The sequence below is a fragment of the Homo sapiens genome, chromosome 9 (genome assembly GCF_000001405.40).
Source record: "Homo sapiens chromosome 9, GRCh38.p14 Primary Assembly".
NCBI lineage: Eukaryota > Metazoa > Chordata > Mammalia > Primates > Hominidae > Homo > Homo sapiens.
In genome coordinates, this window is record NC_000009.12 from 38,766,518 (window position 1) to 38,791,357 (window position 24,840).

The window sequence follows — 24,840 nt, forward strand, 5'->3', positions numbered from 1 at the left end:
AGAGGGAGGGTTTCTCTGCCACAGGAGTATTTACACTTTGGGCTGCTCGGTACTGTGTTGTGGGGGCTGTCCTGTTCCTAGGAGTTCTGCAGCATCCTTGGCCTCAACTAACTAGGGGCCAGTAGCACCCTCCACCTCCAGGTGGGCAACAAAAAAAATCTCCAGACATTGCCAAATGCTCTCCGGGGGAAAATGCCCCTGGTTGAAAACCACTGGGCTAGGTGCAGTGCAGGGTGCAGGATAATAATAACACTTGGAGGCCGGGCGCGGTGGCTCATACCTGTAATCCCAGCACTTTGGGAGGCTGAGGCGGGAGGATCACGAGGTCAGATCGAGACCATGCTGGCTACCATGGTGAAACCCCTGTCTCTACTAAAACTACAAAAATAGCTGGGCGTGGTGGTGCGCGCCTGTAGTCCCAGCTGCTCGGGAGGCTGAGGCAGGAGAATGGCGTGAACCGGGGAGGCGGAGCTTGCAGTGAGCCCCGATCGCGGCACTGCACTCCAGCCTGGGTGACAGAGCGAGACTCGTCTCAAACAAACAAACAAAACACTTGGAGGCTGCCCTCCAGGCCAGTCTCATTGAGCAGAGAAGATTAAGGGAAAGAAAAACAAAGACAAGGGCAAATCATCTAGCATAGTATGTAAACTGCAAAACGTGTACAGGTCAACTTTTAAACATCTTGTGGGTATGATGCTGTGGCTTAGAGTTCCTTTTCTGCTCTTATTCACTCAGCAAACTTTTATCCAGTGCCTCCCATGTGACAGGTGCTGTTTTAGGTTTTGGTGATACCTTAGAGAACCAGACAAAGTCGCTGCCCTCATGGAGCTCATAGTCTCTTTGGGGAGCTAAACAAGACAAGTTAGGACAATCAATAGATGTAGATATGTAGTATAATGCCAGACCGTGGTAAGTGCTGTGAGGGAAGCTGAAGCTGGTAGTGAGATGGAGAGTAGCTGTTGAGGACGGTTGTCAGAGAAGATTTCTCAGAAGGACTAGTATTTTTTGGTGAAGAAGTTATCCTCCTCTTCTCTCTGAGAAAAACCCATGCACTCCCACGTGAACCTCTTCAAGCGGGCTCTCGTGTTGCTCTGGCGCAGCCCTCTTGTGCTTTCAGTGCTCCCTTGATTTCTGACATAACAAGGTAACTGTTCACCGACTACTTCTATTGCCCAGACCCGGAATTAACCATTTCCTCAAGGACTGGCATTATTATTATTAATGCGGTATAACTTACACAGAGTATAAGAAAGTACACTAATCTTACATGTACAATTCAATGAACTTTTACATACTTATACAGCATACAACCACTTCTCATATAAAGATATACAACATTTCTAGCACCTAGAAAGTTCCCCAGGGGCCCATTGCATGTATTACCTCCTCCCCCATGCTGTATGCAGTGGTAATTACAATACTCTCCAGATCTGTGTTATTTTTCTCAACGTTATGCCTTTGAGAGTCATTCATATTCTTTTGAATGGCAGTGATCCATTATTTTTCATTGCTATATAGTATTCCATTCAAGTTTTGATTTGGGTTGTTTGCAGTTTTGGTCTCCTGTGAATAAAACTACTATAACAATTTTTAAACTGAGTTTACTGTCATAATGATGACACCAAGCCAATTGGGGTTTCCCTACTGGAATTATCTAATAACTCATAATTATTTCCTTAACTTTGTAGCTTAATGTTTAATTTCCTTAGCTTTGTAGCTAAATGTCTAATTTTCTCAATGTTTCTCACTTTCTCTTAGGCTGGACAAACTGCATGCATTTTGCCTACACAGAAAAAGATTACTTCTCTTCCAAATAACCTTGCTCAACCTACAAAAGCTTGCCGTTTTATTCATCAGTGAGAGGCAGTTAGTCAAGATTCTAGCTGCCATTTGTGACTCATCCACACCTGTGAAGTGAGTAGATAAGTAACATTACAATATAAATAAATTCAGACATCAAGGAAGGCAAATCGTGATTATTCCTCTAATAGAAAGTGACTCAAGGGTGCGTAGGAACATCTGGGACATTGATGTTCATTTCATGTGACTGTTAGAAGAGTGCTTCTATTCTGAGAATGTGACCCTGGTGTGGTGAAGTTTTCTGTGGAGCCTTTTGAAATTTATAGTCAGTGACGTGGAATGTCCATCCAGGAGGAGTCTGACAAATGCTGTGCCAGTCGAGGTTCAGCACCGTAGGTGTAGCGCAGGCGAAATACGGTGCTGGAGCTTTGAGTACAAGCTGAAACACCGCACACCACCTCCTCTCTCTACCATTCAGAACACTCTTTACAAAACTAAAAAACTGCCCCCCAAAAAAAAGAAAAATATAAATGCAAACATAATAAAATAAAAGGAATATTTCCCAGCTTCTGGAAAGAAAGCCAAGCCAATGATCTCTCTTATAGGTGACATGGGATAGAGGATCCCATTCCAGATTCCCCCAGGTGCTCCATGAAACAGCACAGACTCTGGTTTTCCATCATCTCAGTTCCGGGGCCTTAAGGCCTCCCCCTTACCTCTCCTCTGAGTTCCTGTGGAATCCACACTCCAGAGGTGGCCGCCCCACAGCCTGGGGCCTCCCCAGGGAGCTCTCATTTGGGACTGCCCCAGCTCTGATGTGTCAGGAGAGGCATTTGCCTTTAGCCACCTGTTCATTTGGGGGAATTCTCCTATAGGCTCCCTGTGTTCCCAGTTCTACATTCAAATCATTCTGGGTCTTTTGGTCCTTGTGATAAAACATGAAACAGCAGAAATAAACGTTTAACTATTAAAACAAAGAGACCAATTAATTATTGTTGTGGAAGTATGTGATGCTATATTAAAAACTATTTTGGAAATACAACTTATTTTACCTTCATTGCTACACTGTTCACTGGTCCGCTGTCTTCCACGGGCCACCACAAATGTCCCCTCCAGGAATATTCCATGGACCAGAGGCCCATTTGGGGTAAAGGATGGCGAAACTCTTCCAACATCACTCCCAGGGCCCTTTTATTCTGGAGGGCAGAGGCAGGCCTGGCAGGACAAAGCAAGATGGTGAAGATTCCAGAACTTTTGTGTAGATAATTTAAGTTTTTTCAAATAATATAACTTTAAAGCTCAGACATCCAAGAGAATTAGCTAATGAAAACCTCTATCCAGCAATAAGTTTGGTAAAGTGACTAGAAACAAGTTTGCACAAAAAATAAGAACTTGCATACCTGTATCGATAAAATCTTTATTTTTTTTTTTTATTTTTTGCAACAGAGTCTCGCTGTGTACCCCAGGCTGCAGTGCAGTGGTGCAATCAAGGCTCACTGCAACCTCTGCCTCCCGGGTTGAAGTGATTCTCCCTGCCTCAGCCTCCCGAGTAGCTGGGATTACAGGTGCTCGCCAGCACGCCCTGCTAATTTTTGTATTTTTAGTAGAGACAGGGTTTCACCATGTTGGCCAGGCTGGTCTCAAACTCCTGACCTCATGATCTGCCTGCCTCAGCCTCCCAAAGTGCTGGGATTACAGGCGTGAGCCACCACGCCGGGCCTAAAATCTTAATTAAAAGATATAATGGAAACATAGACAACATAAATAATATTGCCAAAAAATACAAACATAGGATTGGTAATCATGAAGACTATATTAGACTAACACGAGAGAATGAAAAGTAAATGAAGCTTTGAATAATAGAGTAGGCATTCTGTATCTTTGATGGAAAAACTAAACATGGCAAAGATTGAATTTTTTTTTTTTTTGAGACATAGTCTTGCTCTGTCACCCAGGCTGGAGTGCAGTGGTGTGATCTCTGCTCACTGTAACCTCTGCCTCATGGGCTCAAGCAGTTATCCTGCCTCAACCTCCCAAGTAGCTGGGATCACAGGCATGCGCCAACAAGCCTGGTTAATTTTTTGTATTTTTAGTAGAGTCGGGGTTTCACCATGTTTGGCAGGCTGGTCTTAAACTTCTGACCTCAGGTGATCTGCCCACCTCAGCCTCCCAAAGTGATGGGATTACAGGTATGCACCACCGTGCCAGGCCAGATTGAATTTCTTTAAAAAATAATGTGTAATTTAATTTTGATTCCAATAATAATTTCAACTGGACTTTGTTTTTGTTTTTTTACTACTTAAAAAATTGACTTGAAAATATCCTACCAGGTAAACAGCAAGCATAAATTGCACAGATAAGTTTGGAGGAAAAGGTTCCTGTGATTAAAATGTTATTGTTAAAATAGTATGATAAGGAACAAGGATAGATAGATAATTTATTAAAACAAGATAGAGAGTTTTAAAACAGACTAGGTAGGATATTTGATAAAAGAAGCTTCATGTATCAATGAGGGGAGAAACGTATTATTCAGTGCAGCATTTCAGATATTGGCCTTTTAGAAAAAAATAAAAATAATTTCTCACTGAGTCAGGCATATCAATAGTATTCAATATTCTCATCTTCAAAATGAAAGGGTTAAGAGATCTCCAAGGATTTCTTATTCTGTTAGTCTCTGAACTAAAAATTGTAAGAAGTAAGAGTTATGAATAGAGTAGGAGGAGAAAAATCAGTCAGAAGAGAGAAAAAAGCTGAAGTTCCAGCAAATGCGCACATACACACACACACACAGAAACCCTGCAGGTGAAAGTGGATTTATCCATGCAGAAAGGGATGGAAAAAGCCAAATGAAATGGGCATTCAATGTGCTTGCCAAATGCCAAATTAGGGTAACATGTGGTTTATAAACAGTAAACTCGAGCATTCAGCTTCCTTTTCTTTTCTTCTTGGTCCAATCTCTTTAGTTCTTTAAAGTCTCACCTTATGTTGCTACCTCGGTATAGAAAATGAGGGGTGGAGGAGAAAGATTGGACATAATTCAGATACTTTCAGTATGTTTTTGGTGGGTATAAATTTAAAATGCTTATTTTGTTGCACATCAAGCTGCTATTTAAGGCTTAAGGACAAAAAAAGTCAAAATACTGAAAGTTGAAGAAATGGTGTTCAATTTCCCTGGAATCGGGGGCTCAAACATTTCATCTTTGAGAATCTAGTTATTCACTCTGAATGAAAAAATTTTGGTGCAGTTGAAATCACTTTATGCAGTGAAATGCAAATTATGGGTGAACAAATTATAGCCTGCTGCTTTTGCCTGGTTTTGGACTATACCTAGCATCATGCATAATTTGTAGAAAAGTGTCTGCATAGAGAAACCAGGGAAAACCATTTAGCCATGTGCAAATCAGTTTACCCAGAGGAAGGCAATGAAAAGGAGAACACTGTTATCTCCTCACCAGCTTAATGCTGTTCCTGATGAAAATCGCCTGAGGTCACACAAGAAACGTGGTGTAGTAATTATGTGCACTCAAATAGCTTCCCATTGGAAAGAAATAATCCACACTGGTAACTGAATCAAGCAAAACAGGCATAAAATTAAGCAGATTCATTTTATTTCAACTGTAAATTTCAGCAACAGGGGAAGAAAGTGGATACTAGAATAAGTTAGAAGCAGCAGTTGGTGGTTCTGAAGCATCAGGTAATTCGACTCAGGGTGACTATTGTCTCCATTTTTAATTTTTAATTTTTATGGGTAAATAGTCCATATGTTTACGGGGTACATGTGATGATTTGATACAGGCACACTATTAAGGTAATTGGGGTAGTAATTATCTCAACCATTAATCATTTCTTTGTGGCAGGAATATTCCAATTCTACTCTTTTAGTTATTTAAAAATATACACTAAATTATTGTTGACTATAGTCACCCTATTGCGCTATCACATACCAGATATTTTTAATTCTATCTCATTATGTTTTCCTACCCATTAACCAGCCCTACTTTTCCCTCTACTCCCTGTTACCCTTCTCAGCCTCTGGTAACCATCATTCTACTGTATATCTCCATGAGTTCAATTGCTTTAATTTTTAGCACCCACATATGGGTGAGACATTGCAAAATTTGTCTTTCTGTGCCTAGCTTATTTCACTTAACTTAATGCCCTCCAGTTCCATCCATGCTGTTGCAAATGACAGGATTTCATGTTTTTATGGATGAATAATATTCCCTTCTGTATATGCACCACATCTTAAAAAATTCATTTGTCTGTAGTTAGACAAGTAGGTTGATTCCAAATCTTGACTATTGTGAACAGTGCTTCAATAAACGTGGGAGTGCAGATATCTCTTCAATATACTGATTCTTTTCTTTGGGGTATATACCTAAAGGTGGGATCATATGCTGGTTCTATTTGTAGTTTTTTGAGAAAATTCCATACTTTTCTCCATAGTGGCTGTACTAATTTACATTCCCACCAATAGTGTATGAGGGTTCCTCTTTCTCCACATCCTCACAAGCACTTTTTATTGTCTATCTTTTGGATAAGAGCCATTTTAACTAGGGTTAGATGATATCTCATATTTTATTTGCATTTTTCTGATGATTAATAATGTTGAACATTTTTCATATACCTGTTGGCCATTTGTATGTCTTATTTTGAGAAATTTCTCTTCAGATCTTTGGCCTATTTTAAAATTGGATTATTAGATTTTTTTCCTATTGACTTGTTTGAGCTCCTTATATATTCTGGTTATCAAACTCTTGTCAGATGGATAGTTTGCAAATATTTTCTCCCATTCTGTGGATTGTCTCTTCACTTTGTTATTTCCTTGGCTGTGCAGAAGCCTTTTAACTTGATATAATCCCATTTGTTCATTTTTGCATTGGTTGCCTGTGCTTTTCAGGTATTATCAAGAATTCTTTGCCCAGACCAATGTTCTAGAGAGTTTCCCCAATTTTCTTAGAAGTTTTATAGTTTCAGGTCTCACATTTAAGTTTTTAATTCATTTTGATTTAATTTTTGTATATGGTGAGAGATAAGGGTCTCGTTTCATTCTTCTGCATATGGATATCCCATTTTCCAAGCACCATGTATTAAAGAAACTATTTCCCCAATGTATGTTCTTGACATCATTGTAAAAAATGAGTTCACTGGCTGGGCGTGGTGGCTCACTCCTGCAATCCCAGCACTTTGGGAGGCCGAGGCAGGCGGATCATGAGGTCAGGAGATTGAGACCATCCTGGCTAACATGGTGAAACCCCATCTCTACTAAAAATACAAAAATATTAGCCAGGCAGGGTGGTGGAGCCTGTAGTCCCAGCTACATGGGAGGCTGAGGCAGGAGAATGGTGGGAACCCAGGAGGCAGAGCTTGCAGTGAGCTGAAATCACGCCACTGCACTCCAGCCTGGGCAACAGAGCGAGACTCCGTCTCAAAAAAAAAATGAGTTCACTGTGGATGTATGGGTTAATTTCTGATTCTCTATTCTGTTCCATTGGTCTATATGTCTTTCTTTTAGGCCAGTATCATGCTGTTTTGGTTACTATAGCTCTGTAGTATAATTTGAAGTCAGGTAATTTGATTCCTCCAGTTTTCTTCTTTTTGTTCAGGATGGCTTTGTCTATTCTGGGTCTTTTGTGATTCCATGCAAATATTAGAATCATTTTTTTCTATTTCTGTGAAGAATGTTGTTGGTATTTTGATAGGGATTACATTGAATCTGTAGATTGCTTTGGGCAGTATGGATTAAATTGCTTTGGGCAGTATGGATTAAATCCATTTGGGCAGCAGCAAATGGATTAAAATGAAAAAAGAAAAGCCTGGAACCTGATGATAGCTTTACTGCTGAATTTTGCCAGACATTTAAAGAAGAACTAATACCAATCCTACTCAAACTATTCCAAAAAATTGAAGAGGAGGGAATACTTCCAAACACATTCTACAAGGCCAGTATTACCTTTATGCCAAAGCCAGACAAACACACAACAGAAAAAGAAAACTACAGGCCAATATCTCTGATTAATGTTGATGCAAAAATCCTCAACAAAATACTAGTAAATCAAATTCAACAACGAATTTAAAAAATCATTTAATATGACCAAATGAAATTTATTCCAGGAATGTAAGGATGGTTCACCATATGCAAATCAATCAGTGTGATACAACATATCAACAGAATGATACATCATATCAACAAAAACCATATGATAATTTCAAATAATTCTGAAAAAACATTCAATAAAAATCTACAACCTTCATGATAAAAAAACTCCCAAAAAGATTGGTAAAGAAGGAATGTATGTAAACATAATAAAGCCATATACAACAGTCTTACCATATGGGCAGTATGGATGTAACAATATTGATTCTTCCAACCCATAAACATAAAATATCTTTCCATTTCTTTGTGTACTCCTCAATTTCCTTCATCAGTATTTTACAGTTTTTATTATAGAGATCTTTTACTTCTTTGGTTAAGTTTATTTCTATGTATTTTATTTGTAGCAATTATAAATTGGGTTACATTCTTGATTTCTTTTTCAGATTGTTTGCTGTTGGCATATAGAAATGCTACTGTTTTTTGTATACTGATTTTGTATCCTGCAACTTTGCTGAATTTGTCAATCAGCTCTAATAATTTTTTGGTGGAGTCCTTAGGTTTTTCTAAATTATAAGATTATATCATCTGCGAACAAGAATAATTTGACTTTTCCTGTCCCAATCTGGATGCCATTTATTTCTTTCTCTTGTCTAATTGTTCTGTCTAGGACTTCCAGTGCTATGATGAATAATAGAAGTGAAAGTGGGCATCCTTATGTTCTTCTAGATCTTAGAGGAAAAGCTTTCAGTTTTTTCCCATTCAGAATGTTACTAGCTGTAAGACTGTTGTATATGGCTTTATTATGTTTACATACATTCCTTCCTTACCAATCTTTTTGGGAGTTTTTTTTTTATCATGAAGGGTGTAGATTTTTATTGAATTTTTTTCAGAATTATTTGAAATTATCATATGGTTTTTGTTGATATGATGTATCATTCTGTTGATATGTTGTATCACACTGATTGATTTGCATATGGTGAACCATCCTTACATTCCTGGAATAAATTTCATTTGGTCATATTAAATGATTTTTTAAATTCGTTGTTGAATTTGATTTACTAGTATTTTGTTGAGGATTTTTGCATCAACATTAATCAGAGATATTGGCCTGTAGTTTTCTTTTTCTGTTGTGTGTTTGTCTGGCTTTGGCATAAAGGTAATACTGGCCTTGTAGAATGTGATTGGAAGTATTCCCTCCTCTTCAATTTTTTGGAATAGTTTGAGTAGGATTGGTATCAGTTCTTCTTTAAATGTCTGGCAAAATTCAGCAGTAAAGCTATCATCAGGTTCCAGGCTTTTCTTTTTTCATTTTAATCCATTTGCTGCTGCCAGAAAATTTAATTTCATTTTTAGTTAGTAGGCCACTGACTAGTTTAGTGCGTAGACTTCATGTTTCCATGGTTCTTTAGTTTGTTTAATTGTCTCAAAGTGGTAACCAATAAAAGTTTCCAAATTTAAAACCTTTCATTTGTAAATGGATTTCTATGAAACTTGTAAGTACAAAATCTCAGAAAGATACAATTAAATTATACTACATGATATCTACATGTCACAGAATCATGATCAGAAGTTTTCACTCCTGCTCCCAAATAAAATGTTGGCCTGACAGATATTTTCAAGTAAAATACTTGGCTATTCTTGAATCTGTAAGAACATGAGTCTTTTAAATTACAGCATCTGAACAAAAAATTCAGGGAAAAAGAAATAAATAGGCCCTTGACTATGGCCTGCCAGAATCCAGTTTGGAGATAAAAAGGGCTTAATTTGGAGGCACAGATAACATTGTACTATTAATTTCCTAGACTACTTGCCTAACTTTGATTTGTCTCATCCAAGAAATGACTGAGAAGGGAAAGTGTATAGTATTATCTAGTCTTTTGTTTAACTTTTACCTGTTTCTTCATGGAATTAAATGATAAAAGAGAAACAAAAATAGGTTCTTAAATTAAGCATCAAGACTAAAGATAGATATTTAAGACACATTTTAATGATTAATTGTGAAATCACCCTTCAAAAGATGGAAAAGAAATTTTGAAACAATTCTTGGCTTGGTCAGGAAGACAATTAGTGTCTTCAGTTAAAACTATGATAATAGTGTTGTCACCAAAATGGTGGAATAGGGAGCCCTAGGCCTTGTTCCCCAATAGAGACAGCAACTTAACAACAATATATGGAACAAATTACCTTTTTTGGAACTCCAGAAACAACTTATGTTGCAGCACCCCAGGTAAATCCAAAGCCAAGAAGAGCTGTATTGAAGTGGATAAGAAAGTGTATTATATTTACTTGTGATACCCCCTTCAACTAGTGTGCACAGCACAGTATGCTCAAGAGAGAATTTGGAATATCAGAAACATAAAGTGGGAGGCAAGACATAAAAGAAGTAGAGTTTTTGCATGTGATTGAAGTTGTTACCAGTTTAAAATATATTGTTGAAACTTTAAGATGTTTTATGTGATCCCCATGGTAACCACAAAGAGAACAGCTTGTGAATGTACACAAAAGAAAATGTGATCCTTTCAGTAACCACAAAGAAAATAGCTAATGAAAATACACAAAAGAAAATGAAAAAGAAATCAAGGCATATACTACCAAAAAGAAAATCAATGAAACAAAAAGGAAGGATGCCAGAGAGAAAGAGGTACAAAATAGCTACAAGGCATACAAAAACACAATGAATAAAATGTCAATAGCAGTTCTTCCATATTAGTAATATCTTTCATGTAAATAGACTAGTTTCCCCAATAAAAAGACAGGTTGGCTGAATGGATTAAAAAATTCTACTATATGCTGTGTACAAGAGACTCACTTTAAATCTAAGGAGACATATAAGGTGAAAGTAAAAGAATAGAAAAGATACTCCCTGCAAATTGTAACAAAAAGAGAGTATACAAAAACAGAGTATAGGTGGCTACATCTATACCAGAAAAAAAATAGTCATTAAGTAAAAAATATCACAAGGTACAAAGAACAATATATAATAACCTGGTCCATTTACCAGGAAAATATAATAATTATAAATATATACACACCTAACGTCAGTGTTCTCAAATATGTGAAGCAGACATTGACAGGATTCAAGGGAGAAATAAACAGCATACAATAATAGTAGGATTCAATACTCCACTTTCAATAATGGGTAGAACAGCCAGCAGAAGATCAATAATGGGACAGAGGACATGAATAACATCATAGACCAAATGGACCAAATACACATCCATACAACATTTCACCCAACAATGGCAGAATACACATTCTTCTCAAGCACAGTTGGAACATTCTGCGAGAAAGACCACATACTAGACCACTAAACAAGTCTTAACAGTTTTAAGCAGATTGAAATAATATCAAGTATTTTTCCCAGTACAATAGAATGAAACTAGAAATCAATAGCAGAAGAAAAACTGGAAAATTCATGAATATGCAGAATTTAATCAACACGCTCTTAAATAACCAATGAATCAAAGAAGGAATCACAAGGAAAATTGCAAAATAATTTGTAAAAAAGAAACAAAAATACAACACACTAAAACTTACAGAAGCAGCAAAAGCAATACTAAGAGAGAATTTTATAGTGGAATATGCCATAAAAAAAAGAAAGGCCTCTTGGCAGGGCGCGGTGTCTCATGCCTGTAATCCCAGCACTTTGGGAGGCTGAGGTGGGCGGATCACAAGTTCAGGAGATTGAGACCATCCTGGCTAACACGACGAAACCCCGTCTCTACTAAAAACACAAAATATTAGCCTGGCATGGTGGCGGGTGCCTGGAGTTCCCGCTACAGGAGGCTGAGGCAGGAGTATGGTGTGAACCCGGGAGGCAGAGCTTGCAGTGAGCTGAGATGGCACCACTGCACTCCAGCCTGGGCAACAGAGTGAGACTCCGTCTCAAAAAAAAGAAAAGAAAGGTCTCAAATCAACAAGTTAATTTTATACACAAAGGAACCAGTAAAAGAGAACAAACTAAATCCAAAGTTAGCAGAAGGAAGAATATAAAGATTAGAGTAAGAATAAATGGAATAAAGAATAACTTTTATAAAAGTTAGATTTAAAAAATAACAACAAAATTGAAAATCCTTTAGCTATATTAAGAAAAAGAGAGAATACTCAAATAACTAAAATCAGAAATGAATGCCTCATTCATTTTTTATCAGATATTATAACTGATGCCACAGAAATAGAAAGGATTATAAGGGACTACTAAGAACAATTATAAGCCAACGAGTTAGGCAAACTAGAAGAAATGGGTGAATTCGTGGTAAGATACAACCTACCAAGATGGAATCATGAAGAAATAAAGAAATCTGAACAGATGTGTAACTAGTAAGGAGAATAAATCAGTATTCAAAAATCTCCCAACAAAAAATGGACCAGACCCAAATGATTTCACTGGAGAATCTACCAAACATTTAAAGAAAAATTAATAATTATCCTTAACCTCTTCCAAAAAAATCACAGAGAGAAAACACTTCTAAACTTATTTTATAAGGGCAACATTACCCTGATACCAAACCTAGACAAAGATACAAGAAAACTATAGATTATTACACCTGATGAATATTAATGAAAAATCCTCAACAAAATATTTGCAAACTGAATTTAACAGTACATTCAAAGAACTATATATTGTGACCAGGTTTTATTCCTCCTAATGCAAGGATAGTTCAATATATGAAAATCAGTGTAATACATTGCATTAACAGAATAAAAGACAAAAAGCACACAATCATCTTAATTGATTCAGAAAAAGCATGTGACAAAATTGAACACCCTTTCATGACAAAATTAAGAAACGAAGAGTAGAAAAAAATTACCTCAACATAATAAATGTTATGTGTGGTTTTGAATAAGTATGTATGTATATGTATAGATATACACATAAATGTTATATAAATATAATATGTGTGCACACATACAGGGCTAACACCATACTCAATGATGAAAACCTGAAAACTTTCCCTAAGATCAAGAACAAGGCGGGGCAGTTCCAAGATGGCCGAATAGGAACAGCTCCAGTCTAAGCTCCCAGCGTAAGTGATGGAGAAGATGGGTGATTTCTGCATTTCCAACTGAGGTACTGGCTTCATCTCACTGGGGCTTGTCAGATAGTGGGGGCAGGACAGTGGGTGCAGCCCACTGAGCATGAGCTGAAGCAGGGCAAGGCGTCGCCTCACCTGGGAAGCACAAGGGGTCAGGGAATTCCCTTTCCTAGCCAAGGGAAGCAGTGACAGAAGGCACCTGGAAAATTGGGTCACTCCCACCCTAATACTGCACTTTTCCAGTGGTCTTAGCAAACAGCACACCAGGAGATTATATCCCGTGCATGGCTCGGAGGGTCCCATGCCCACGGAGCCTCACTTATTGCTAGCACAGCAGTCTGAGATTGAACTGCAAGGCGGCAGTGAGGCTGGGGAAGGGGCACCTGCCATTGCTGAGGCTTGAGTAGGTAAACAAAGTGGCCTGGAAGCTCGAACTGGGTGGAGCCCACAACAGCTCAAGGAGGCCTGCCTGCCTCTGTAGACTCCACCTCTGGGGACAGGGCATAGCTGAACAAAAGGCAGCAGAAACCTCTGCAGACTTAAATGTCCCTGTCTGACAGCTTTGAGGAGAGTAGTGGTTCTCCCAGCATGGAGTTTGAGATCTGAGAACAGATAGACTGCCTCCTCAAGTGGGTCCCTGACCCCTGAGTAGCCTAACTGGGAGGCACCATCCAGTAGGGGCAGACTGACACCTTACACGGCCAGGTACCACACTGAGATGAAGCTTCCAGAAGAGCAATCAGGCAGCAAGATTTGCTGTTCAGCAATATTCACTGTTCTGCAGCCTCCGCTGCTGATACCCAGGCAAACAGGGGCTGGAGTGGACCTCCAGCAAACTCCAACAGACCTGCAGCTGAGAGTCCTGCCTGTTAGAAGGAAAACTAACAAACAGAAAGGACATCCACACCAAAACCCCATCTGTACGTCACCATCATCAAAGACCAAAGGTAGATAAAACCACAAAGATGGGGAAAAAACAGGGCAGAAAAGCTGAAAATTCTAAAAATCAGAGTGCCTCTCCCCTTCCAAAGGAATGCAGCTCCTCTCCAGCAATGGAACAAAGCTGGACAGACAATGACTTTGACAAGAGAAGAAAGCTTCAGATGATCAAACTTCTCCAAGCTAAAGGAGGAAGTTTGAACCCATCGCAAAGAAGCTAAAAACCTTGAAAAAAGATTAGACGAATGGCTGACTAGAATAACCAGTGTAGAGAAGACCTTAAAGGACCTGATGGACTGAAAACCGTGGCACAAGAACTACGTGACGAATGCACAAGCTTCAGTAGCCGATTCGATCAGTGGTTGAAGATCAGATGAATGAAATGAAGTGAGAAGAGAAGTTTAGAGAAAAAAGAGTAAAAAGAAACGAACAAAGCCTCCAAGAAATATGGGACTATGTGAAAAGACCAAATCTATGTCTGATTGGTGTACCTGAAAGTGACGGGGAGAAATGGAACCAAGTTGGAAAACACTTTGCAGGATATTATCCAGGAGAACTTTCCCAAGCTAGCAAGGCAGGCCAACATTCAAATTCAGGAAATACAGAGAATGCCACAAAGATACTCCTTGAGAAGAGCAACTCCAAGACACATAACTGTCAGATTCATCAAAGTTGAAATGAAGGAAAAAATGTCAAGGGCAGCCAGAGAGAAAGGTCAGGTTACCCACAAAGGGAAGCCCATCAAACTAACAGAGGATCTCTCGGCAGAAACTCTACAAGCCAGAAGAGAGTGGGGGCCAATATTCAACATTCTTAAAGAAAAGAATTTTCAACCCAGAGTTTCATATCCAGCCAAACTAAGCTTCATAAGAGAAGGAGAAATAAAATCCTTTACAGACCAGCAAATTCTGAGAGATTTTTGTCACTACCAGGCCTGCCCTACAAGAGCTCTTGAAAGAAGCACTAAACATGGAAAGGAAAAACCGGTACAAGTCACTGCAAAAATATGCCAGATTGTAAAGGCCATCGATGCTAGGAAGAAACTGCATCAACTAATGAGCAAACTAACCAGCTAACATCATAATGACAGGATCAAATTCACACATAACAATATTAACGTTAAATGTAAATGGGCTAAACGCTCCAATTAAAAGACACAGACTGGCAAATTGGATAAAGAGTCAAGACCCATCAGTGTGCTGTATTCAGGAGACCCATCTCACGTGCAGAGACACACATAGGCTCAAAATAAAGGGATGGAGGAAGATCTACCAAGAAAATGGAAAACAGAAAAAGGCAGGGATTGTGATCTTAGTCTCTGATAAAACAGACTTTAAACCAACAAAAATCAGAAGAGACAAAGAAGGCCATTACATAATGGTAAAGGGATCAATTCAACAAGAAGAGCTAACTATCCTAAATATATATGCACCCAATAAAAGAACACCCAGATTCATAAAGCAAGTCCTTAGAGACCTACAAAGAGACTTAGACTCCCATGCAATAATAATGGCAGACATTAATACCCCACTGTCAACATTAGACAGATCAATGAGACAGAAAGTTAACAAGGATATCCAGGAATTGAATGCAGCTCTGCACCAAGCAGACTTAATAGACATCTACAGAACTCTCCACCCCAAATCAACAGAATATACATTCTTCTCAGCACCACATCACACTTATTCCAAAACTGACCACATAGTTGGAAGTAAAGCACTCCTCAGCAAATGTAAAAGAACAGAAATTATAACAAACTGTCTCTCAGACCACAGTGCAATCAAACTAGAACTCAGGATTAAGAAACTCAATCAAAACCACTCAACTACATGGAAACTGAAGAACCTGCTCCTGAATGACTACTGGCTACATAATGAAATGAAGGCAGAAATAAACATGTTCTTTGAAACCAGCGAGAACAAAGACACAACATACCAGAATCTCTGGGACACATTTAAAGCAGTGTGGAGAGGGAAATGTATAGCACTAAATGCTCATAAGAGAAAACAGAAAAGATCTAAAATTGACACCCTAACACCACAATTAAAAGAACTACAGAAGCAAGAGCAAACACATTCAAAAGCTAGCAGAAGGCAAGAAATAACTAAGATCAGAGCAGAACTGAAGGAAATAGAGACACAAAAAACCCTTCAAAAATCAATGAATCCAGGAGCTGGTTTTTTGAAATGATCCACAAAATTGATAGACTGCTAGCAAGACTAAAAAAGAAGAAAAGAGAGAAGAATTAGATGCAATAAAAAATGATAAAGGGGATATCACCACTGATCCCACAGAAATACAAACTACCATCAGAGAATACTATAAACACCTCTATGCAAATAAGCTAGAAAATCTAGAAGAAATGGATAAATTCCTGGACACATACACCCTCCCAAGACTAAACCAGGAAGAAGTTGAATCCCTGAATAGACCAATAACAGGCTCTGAAATTGAGGCAATAATTAATAGCCTACCAACCAAAAGATGTCCAGGACCAGATGGATTCACAGCCGAATTCTACCAGAGGTACAAGGAGGAGCTGGTACCATTCCTTCTGAAACTATTCCAATCAACAGAAAAAGAGGGAATCCTTCCTAACTCATTTTATGAGGCCAGCATCTTCCTGATACCAAAGCCTGGCAGAGACACAACAACAACAAAAAAGAGCATTTTAGACCAATATCCCTGATGAACATTGATGCAAAAATCTTCAATAAAATACTGGCAAACTGAACCCAGCAGCACATCAAAAAGCTTATCCACCATGATCAAGTGGGCTTCATCCCTGGGATGCAAGGCTAGTTCAACATACACGAATTAATAAACGTAATCCAGCATATAAACAGAACCAAAGACAAAAAACCACATGATTATCTCAATAGATGCAGAAACGGCCTTCGACAAAATTCAACAGCCCTTCATGCTAAAAACTCTCAATAAATTAGGTATTGATGGGATGTATCTCAAAATAGTAAGAGCTATCTATGACAAACCCACAGCCAATATCATACTGAATGGGCAAAAACTGGAAGCATTCCCTTTGAAAACTGGCACAAGACAGGGATGCCCTCTCTCACTGCTCCTATTCAACACAGTGCTGGAAGTTCTGGCCAGGGCAATAAGGCAGGAGAAAGAAATAAAGGGTATTCAATTAGGAAAAGAGGAAGTCAAATTGTCCCTGTTTGCAGATGACATGATTGTATATTTAGAAAACCCCATCATCTCAGCCAAAAATCTCCTTAAGCTGATAAGCAACTTCAGCAAAGTCTCAGGATACAAAATCAATGAGCAAAAATCACAAGCATTCTTACACACCAATAACAGACAAACAGAGAGCCAAATCATGAGTGAACACCCATTCACAATTGCTTCCAAAGAGAATAAAATACTAGGAATCCAACTTACAAGGGATGTGAAGGACCTCTTCAAGGAGAATTACAAACCACTGCTCAACGAAATAAAAGAGGACACAAACAAATGGAAGAACATTCCATGCTCATGGATAGGAAGAATCAATATCATGAAAATGGCCATACTGCCCAAGGTAATTTATAGATTCAATGTCATCCCCATCAAGCTACCAATGACTTTCTTCACAGAATTCGAAAAAACTACTTTAAAGTTCATAGGAACCAAAAAAGGGCCCACATTGCCAAGACAATCCTAAGCCAAAAGAACAAAGCTGGAGGCATCACGCTACCTGACTTCAAACTATACTACAAGGCTATAGTAACCAAAACAGCATGGTACTGTTACCGAAACAGAGATACAGACCAGTGGAACAGAACAGAGCCCTCAGAAATAATACCACACATCTACAACCATCTGATCTTTGACAAACCTGACAAAAACAAGAAATGGGGAAAGGATTCCCTATTTAACAAATGGTGCTGGGAAAACCGGCTAGCCATATGTAGAAAGCTGAAACTGGGTCCCTTCCTTACACCTTATACAAAAATTAATTCAAGATGTATTAAAGACTTAAATGTTGGACCTAAAAACATAAAAACCCTAGAAGAAAACCTAGGCAATACCATTCAGGACATAGGCATGGGCAAGGACTTCATGTCTAAAACACCAAAAGCAATGGCAACAAAAGCCAAAATTGACAAATAGGATCTAATTAAACTAAAGAGCTTGGGCACAGCAAAAGAAACTACCATCAGAGTGAACAGGCAACCTACAGAATGGGAGAAAATTTTTGCAATCTACTCATCTGACAAAGGGCTAATATCCAGAATCTACAAAGAACTCAAACAAATTTACAAGAAAAAAACAAACAACCCCATCAAAAAGTGGGCAAAGGATATGAACAGACACTTCTCAAAAGAAGACATTTATGCAGCCAACAGACACATGAAAAAATGCTCATCATCACTGGCCATCAGAGAAATGCAAATCAAAACCACAATGAGATACCATCGCACACCAGTTACAATGGCGATCATTAAAAAGTCAGGAAACAACAGGTGCTTGAGAGGATGTGGAGAAATAGGAATGCTTTTACACTGTGGGTGGGACTGTAAACTAGATCAACCATTGTGGAAGACAGTGTGGCAATTCCTCAAGGATCTATAACTAGAAATACCATTTGACCCAGCCATCCCATTACTGGGTATATACCCAAAAGATTATAAATCACACTCCTATAAAGACACATGCACATGTATGTTTATTGCAGCACTATTCACAATGGCAAAGACTTGGAACCAACCAAAATGTCAATCAATGATAGACTGGATTAAGAAAATGTGGCACATATACACCATGGAATACTATGCAGCCATAAAAAAGGATGAGTTCATGTCCTTTGTAGGGACATGGATGAAGCTGGAAACCATCATTCTGAGCAAACTATCGCAAGGATAAAAAACCAAACACTGCATGTTCTCACTCATAGGTGGGAATTGAACAATCAGGACACTTGGACACAGGAAGGGGAACATCACACACTGGGGCCTGTTGTTGGGTGAGGGGAGGGATAGCATTAGGAGATAAACCTAATGTAAATGATGAGTTAATGTGTGCAGCACACCAACATGGCACATGTATACATATGTATCAAATTTGCACATTGTGCACATGTACTCTAGAACTTAAAAGTATAATAATAATAAAAAAAAAAGAAAAAGAACAAGGCAAGAATGTCCATACTGACCACTTCTTTTTTTTTTTTTTTTTTTTGAGACGGAGTCTCGCTCTGTTCCCCAGGCTGGGGTGCAGGGGCACGATCTCGGCTCACTGCAAGCTCCGCCTCCCGGGTTCAGCCATTCTTCTGCCTCAGCCTCCTGAGTAGCTGGGACTACAGGCGCCCGCCACCATGCCCGGCTAATTTTTTTTTTTTTTTGTATTTTTTTAGTAGAGACGGGGTTTCACCGTGTTAGCCAGGATGGTCTCGATCTCCTGACCTCGTGATCCTCCTGCCTTGGCCTCCCAAAGTGCTGGGATTACAGGCGTGAACCACCACGCCTGGCCCATACTGACCACTTCTATTCAACATAGTAGTGACAGTCTTAGCCTGGGAAATTAGATATGAGAAAGAAATAACAGCTATCCAAAATGGAAAGCAAGAAGTAAAATGATCTCTGTTTACAGATGACATAATCTTATTGTAGAAAGCACTAAAAACTGTTAGAACTAATAAATTCAACAAAATTTTATAATCCAAAGTGAACAAAAAGTAATTGCATATTTATACACTAACAGTCAGTAATCCAAAAACGCATTTAAGAAAACAATCCCATCAAGAACTTATAAAAGCATAAACAATAGTAACAAGAAGAATAAGATACTTTGGAATAAACTTAACCAAGGATGGGAAAACCTTGCACACTGAAAACTACGAAACAGGCTGGGTGCAGTGGCTCACACCTGTAATCCCAGCACTTTGGGAGGCCAAGGTGGGTGGATTGCTTGAGTCCAGGAGTTCAAGACCAAGTTGGGCAACATGGCGAAACCCCCTCTCTACTAAAAATACAAAAAATAGCCAGGCATGGTGGCACGTGCCTGTAGTCCCAGTTACTTGAGAGGCTGAGGTGGGAGAATCACCTGAGCTCAGGAGGTCGAGGCTGCAGTGAGCCGAGATCATGCCACTGCACTCCAGCCTGGGCAAACAGAGTGAGACCCTGTCTCAACAAAACAAAACAAAACACAGCAAAACACAAAAAACCTACAAGACATTGCTGAAAGAAATTAAAGAGACATAAATAAATAGAAAGACATCCTGTACTCATGAATTGAAAGACTTAGTGTTAAGATATCCATGTACCCAAAGTGATTTACTGATTCAATGCAATTCTTAACAAAATGCAAATGACTTTTTTGCAGAAATGGAATAAAACCATTCTATAATTTACATAGAATCTCAAGGGACCCTGCATAGCCAAAACAATCTTAAAAAAGAAGAATGAAGTTAGAGTGCTCACACTTTTGATTTTAAGAATATTTTGAAGCTACAGTAATTAAAGACAGTGTAACACTGGCATAAAGACACATATACAGACCAATGAAACAGAACAGGAAGTTCAGAATTAAACTCTCACATACATGATCTTCAACAAGGGTACCAAGACAAAACAATGGGGAAAGGACAGTCTCTTCAATAATTGATGTTGTAAACACTAGATATCCACATGCAAAAGAATGAAGTTGAAACTTAACCTTACATCATATATAAAAATTAACTTAAAATTGATTAAAGACCTAGACATGAGACCTACAACTGTAAAATGACTAGGAGAAAAGTGTAAGAAAAGCTTCATGACACTGAATTTGGTAATGATTTCTTGAATATGATACCAAAAGAATAGGAAACAAAAGAAAAAGGTAGACAAATAGGACTACATCAAACTTAAAAATTTTTGCACATCAAAGAAACAGTGACAAAGCAACCTGTGAAATGAGAGAAAATATTTGCAAATTATATCTAAAAGGGGTTAATATCCAGAATACTTGTCTATAGAGAACCACTACAAGTCAACAACAAAAGACAATCTGTTAAAAAAATGGGCCAAGAACTTGAATAGACATTCCTCCCAAGAAGAAGTATAAACATTAAAAAAATGTTCAGTGCCTTTAATCAAATTAAAACTACAATGAGCAATCGCCTACCCATCAGGATGGTCACTACAAAAAAAGACCAAGCAAAACATATTGGAAGGATGAGAAGAAACTGGAACCCTTTTACACTGTTGGTAGGAATGAAAAAATGGTGCAGCTGCTATGGAAAAATGATCTGAGGTTCCCCAAATAATTAAAAATAGAACTACTATATGATCCAGGAATCTCACTTCTGGGTATGTATGCAAAAGAACTAAAATAATTATGTCAAAGAGTTATCTGCATACCCATGTTAACTGCAGCATTATTCACAAAAGTCAAGAGTTGGAAGCAACCCAAATGTCTATTAAAAGATGAATAAAGAAAATGTGGAATATACATACAATGGAATACTATTTGACCTTAACAAAGAAGAAAATTCTGTCACATGCTACAACATGAATGAACCTTGAGGATATTGTACTAAGTGAAATAAGCCAATCACAAAAAGACAAGTATTGTATGATTACATTTATAGGAGGTTTCAAAAATAGACAAACTCATAGAAACAGAAACTACAATGGTGATTGCCAGAGACTGGGGACATGGAGAAATGGGGAGACGTTGTTTAACTGGTTTAGTTTCAGGTTTGCAAGATTAAAAAGTTCTGGAGATTTGTTACACAACACTGTGCATACAGTGAACGCTACTGAACTGTGCACTTAAAAAGTGGTTGAAATGGTAAATTTCTTATGTGTTTTAAAATATATATATATTTTTTAATTTTTAATTTTTTTTAAATTTTTTTGAGACAGAGTCTCACTCTGTTGCCTGGGCTGGAGTGCAGTGGCGTGATCTCGGCTCACTGCAAGCTCTGCCTCCTGGGTTCACGCCATTCTCCTGCCTCAGCCTCCTGAGCAGCTGGGACTACAGGTGCCCGCCACCAGGCCCAGCTAATTTTTTTGTAGTTTTTAGTAGAGATGGGGTTTTTCACCGTGTTAGCCAGGCTGGTCTCGAACTCCCGACCTCAGGTGATCCGCCCACCTCGGCCTCCCAAAGTGCTGGGATTACCGCGTGAGCCACCACGCCTGGCCTGTATGTGTTTTTAAAATCACAATGAGAAATTAAAAAATAAAATGAAAATAAGAAATGCTTAGCATATAAGAAAGTGAAGCATCGAAGCCCACGAAGATACAGCGAGTTTGCTTACTCCCAGCTTGTCTGGCACTGTCCAGATCTTACTGCCGATAGCCCTGCACCCTGAGTATAACCTCAGTCCCAGGCACACCAGGTGTTTGGATATTCTATATGAAAACCAGAGCATTTAAAGAAATGGTGTAAACAGAATAAAGGTATTTTGTTGAAAGTAAAGTATAATGCTATCCTTACTTGGTAATCCCATTGCCTTTAAAGTGAAGCATATTACTGGGATGTAAACCTGTATTTTTCTCTCTTGGCTCTTTAACAGATTCTCCAGATCTGTCTTATTTATATTTCCTTCAAAATACTTCTGTGATTTCTATCTTTTCTTGTTTCCAAGCCACACTTCAGCTTCATTCCTTATGCACAGGAGAGCCTGTTCTTGGTTTCTTTTCTTCCAGGTTCTGATTTTTAATCTGCCCAAATTGTAACTGGGACATTTATTGACAAAAAGAAATTTGAACATGTAACAGCCTTTTTTTTCCTTCTAATTTTTAAGTGGTTTCTAATTAGGTAATTTCCTGAAGATTAAAGTTCTTAAAGTCTCTGATTTATTAGTTCATCATTCTTAATTTTTTCAGTTTTCTATCATTGTCTAGTAGAGTATGTCCAGTTGATAGGATATCTGAGGACATATTATCTCTCCATCAATTTATTTCTGTATTACACACACTTTCTCTCCATTCTCTTCTTCAGACCTTCTGCACCACCTCCCCTCAACAGTTGTAACAAATAAAAATGTCTCCAGACATTGCTGAATGTCCCGAGGCGGCAAAATTTCCCCTGGTTGAGCACAGCTGATAGAAATAATGCCCAAATTTCAAGATTTTTTCCAAAGTGGTCTTCATATTCAATTCCCAAACGTGTACTTAACATTGTTCTTTCTGAAAAGAGTACTTTCCCCATTTTCTCTACCTGGAGAGAACTCCAGGAAGCTGAGACCGGCCAGACCACAGAGCTTGACCCAGGTTCCACACATTTTTCATGTGCAAATTGGGAAGCACGATGAGATATCTCTCTTGCCTGTCATTATGATTTTTTTTTAAGTGAAAAATAGGCTGGGCGCCGTGGCTCACACCTGTAATCCCAGCACTTTGGGAGGCCGAGGCGGGCGGATCACGAGATAAGGAGATGAGACCATCCTGGCTAACACGGTGAAACCCCGTCTCTACTACAAAATACAAAAAATTAGCCGGGCGTGGTGGCGGCCGCCTGTAGTCCCAGCTACTCGGGAGGCTGAGGCAGGAGAATGGCGTGAACCCAGGAGGCGGAGCTTGCAGTGAGCCGAGATCGCGCCACTGCACTACAGCCTGGGCGGCAGAGCCAGACTCCATCTCAAGAAAAAAAAAAAGTGAAAAATAAAAATCCTGGTTTCTGGGGAATCAATCACTCATATAGTGCTGTTGTTAACATAAATATCCAAATCTTCACAGAGGAACAGAGGACAATATGACAATAAGCACTACATTTTCAAGTGTCTTTTATACCCATTGAAAATTTGGTAGAAATTAGATATCTAGGAATTTCCCCTAACAGAGTAAATATACAGACCGTGTGCGGTGGCTCACGCCTGTAATCCCAGCACTTTGGGAGACCAAGGCGGGTAGGTCACGAGGTCAGGAGATCAAGACCATCCTGGCTAACATGGTGAAACCCCGTCTCTACTAAAAATGCAAAAACAAAATTAGACGGGCGTGGTGGTGGGCGCCTGTAGTCCCAGCTACTCAGGAGGCTGAGGCAGGAGAATGGCGTGAACTCGGGAGGCAGAGCTTGCAGTGAGCCGAGATCGCGCCATTGCACTCCAGCCTGGGCGACAGAGCAAGACTACGACTCAAAAAAAAAAAAAAAGAAACAAAAGATGTCAAGTCCTTAGTCATTATAAAAATGATGTTTAATCATTTTCTTGGATTTTGCAGATGAATTGGTGAATAGCTTTGTGACAGACCTTTGTTCAAGATCCATTCAAGGATAGAAGACAATTGCATTGAATGGTTGAATAGGGAGATTTCTCAGGAGAATGTTGCTGGGTGCGGTTGAATATTTACTCTCCCACATCCTTGCCTGGCAGGAGGGCCTGTAAGGAGGCTATTCTATGAGCTTGTATCATCTCCCTGGATTCTAGGAGCAAATTAAGAAGCAAATGTTGGACCTCTGCCTGTGAAAACCACAGGTCCAAGACACTGAGAGGAACCAGGAACCACGGCAAGAAGAGAGGAAAGTGGTGTGGGTGCCTACACTTTCATCATTTGCATGACAAGGGGGTCCCATGAGTCAAGTACAGTCTAGGAGGTAATTGAGGTGGAGCTGTGCAGAAGGGACCCTGACCAAGAGTTGAGGGGCACCAGCGGAGAGGCTGTGGGTTGCACCTCCAGGGGCGGATGCTGGAAGTGGTGCCTGAAAGGAGTCAGCAGGGAGAGCCACATTGCTTGTATCTTGAGACATAACTGGGTGTGCAAAATGGGAAATCACTGTGGATCTCTCAGTAGGAATCTTTCAGGGATAGAGCCGGTTGTGAACATTCTGTAACATCAGATTAAATAGGGCCTTTTCTGTTCTTCATCTCTCTTTCATGCCTTTCTTCCCCCAGATAGACATACTCAGTGAGCTTTCTTCCCAGTTTGAAGCAGGTCTGAGGTGGAGAAGTAGAGAAAATCAAAGTTTTGACTATTGCATGGAAGTGGACATCCTAATTATTGAAATAATACTGTTGTGGCCAGGGCTGATGTTTAG

General features: G+C 39.1%; 1 annotated feature.

Annotated features, from left to right (window-relative positions):
* Positions 1,338–2,537: an enhancer, noted in NCBI's record as "CDK7 strongly-dependent group 2 enhancer chr9:38767852-38769051 (GRCh37/hg19 assembly coordinates)". NCBI's record gives its function as "activates an origin of replication core promoter dependent on BRD2, BRD4, P300/CBP, MED14 and CDK7 cofactors, with strong dependence on CDK7, by STARR-seq in HCT116 cells {active_cell/tissue: HCT116}" and the evidence as "EXISTENCE:reporter gene assay evidence [ECO:0000049][PMID:35650434]".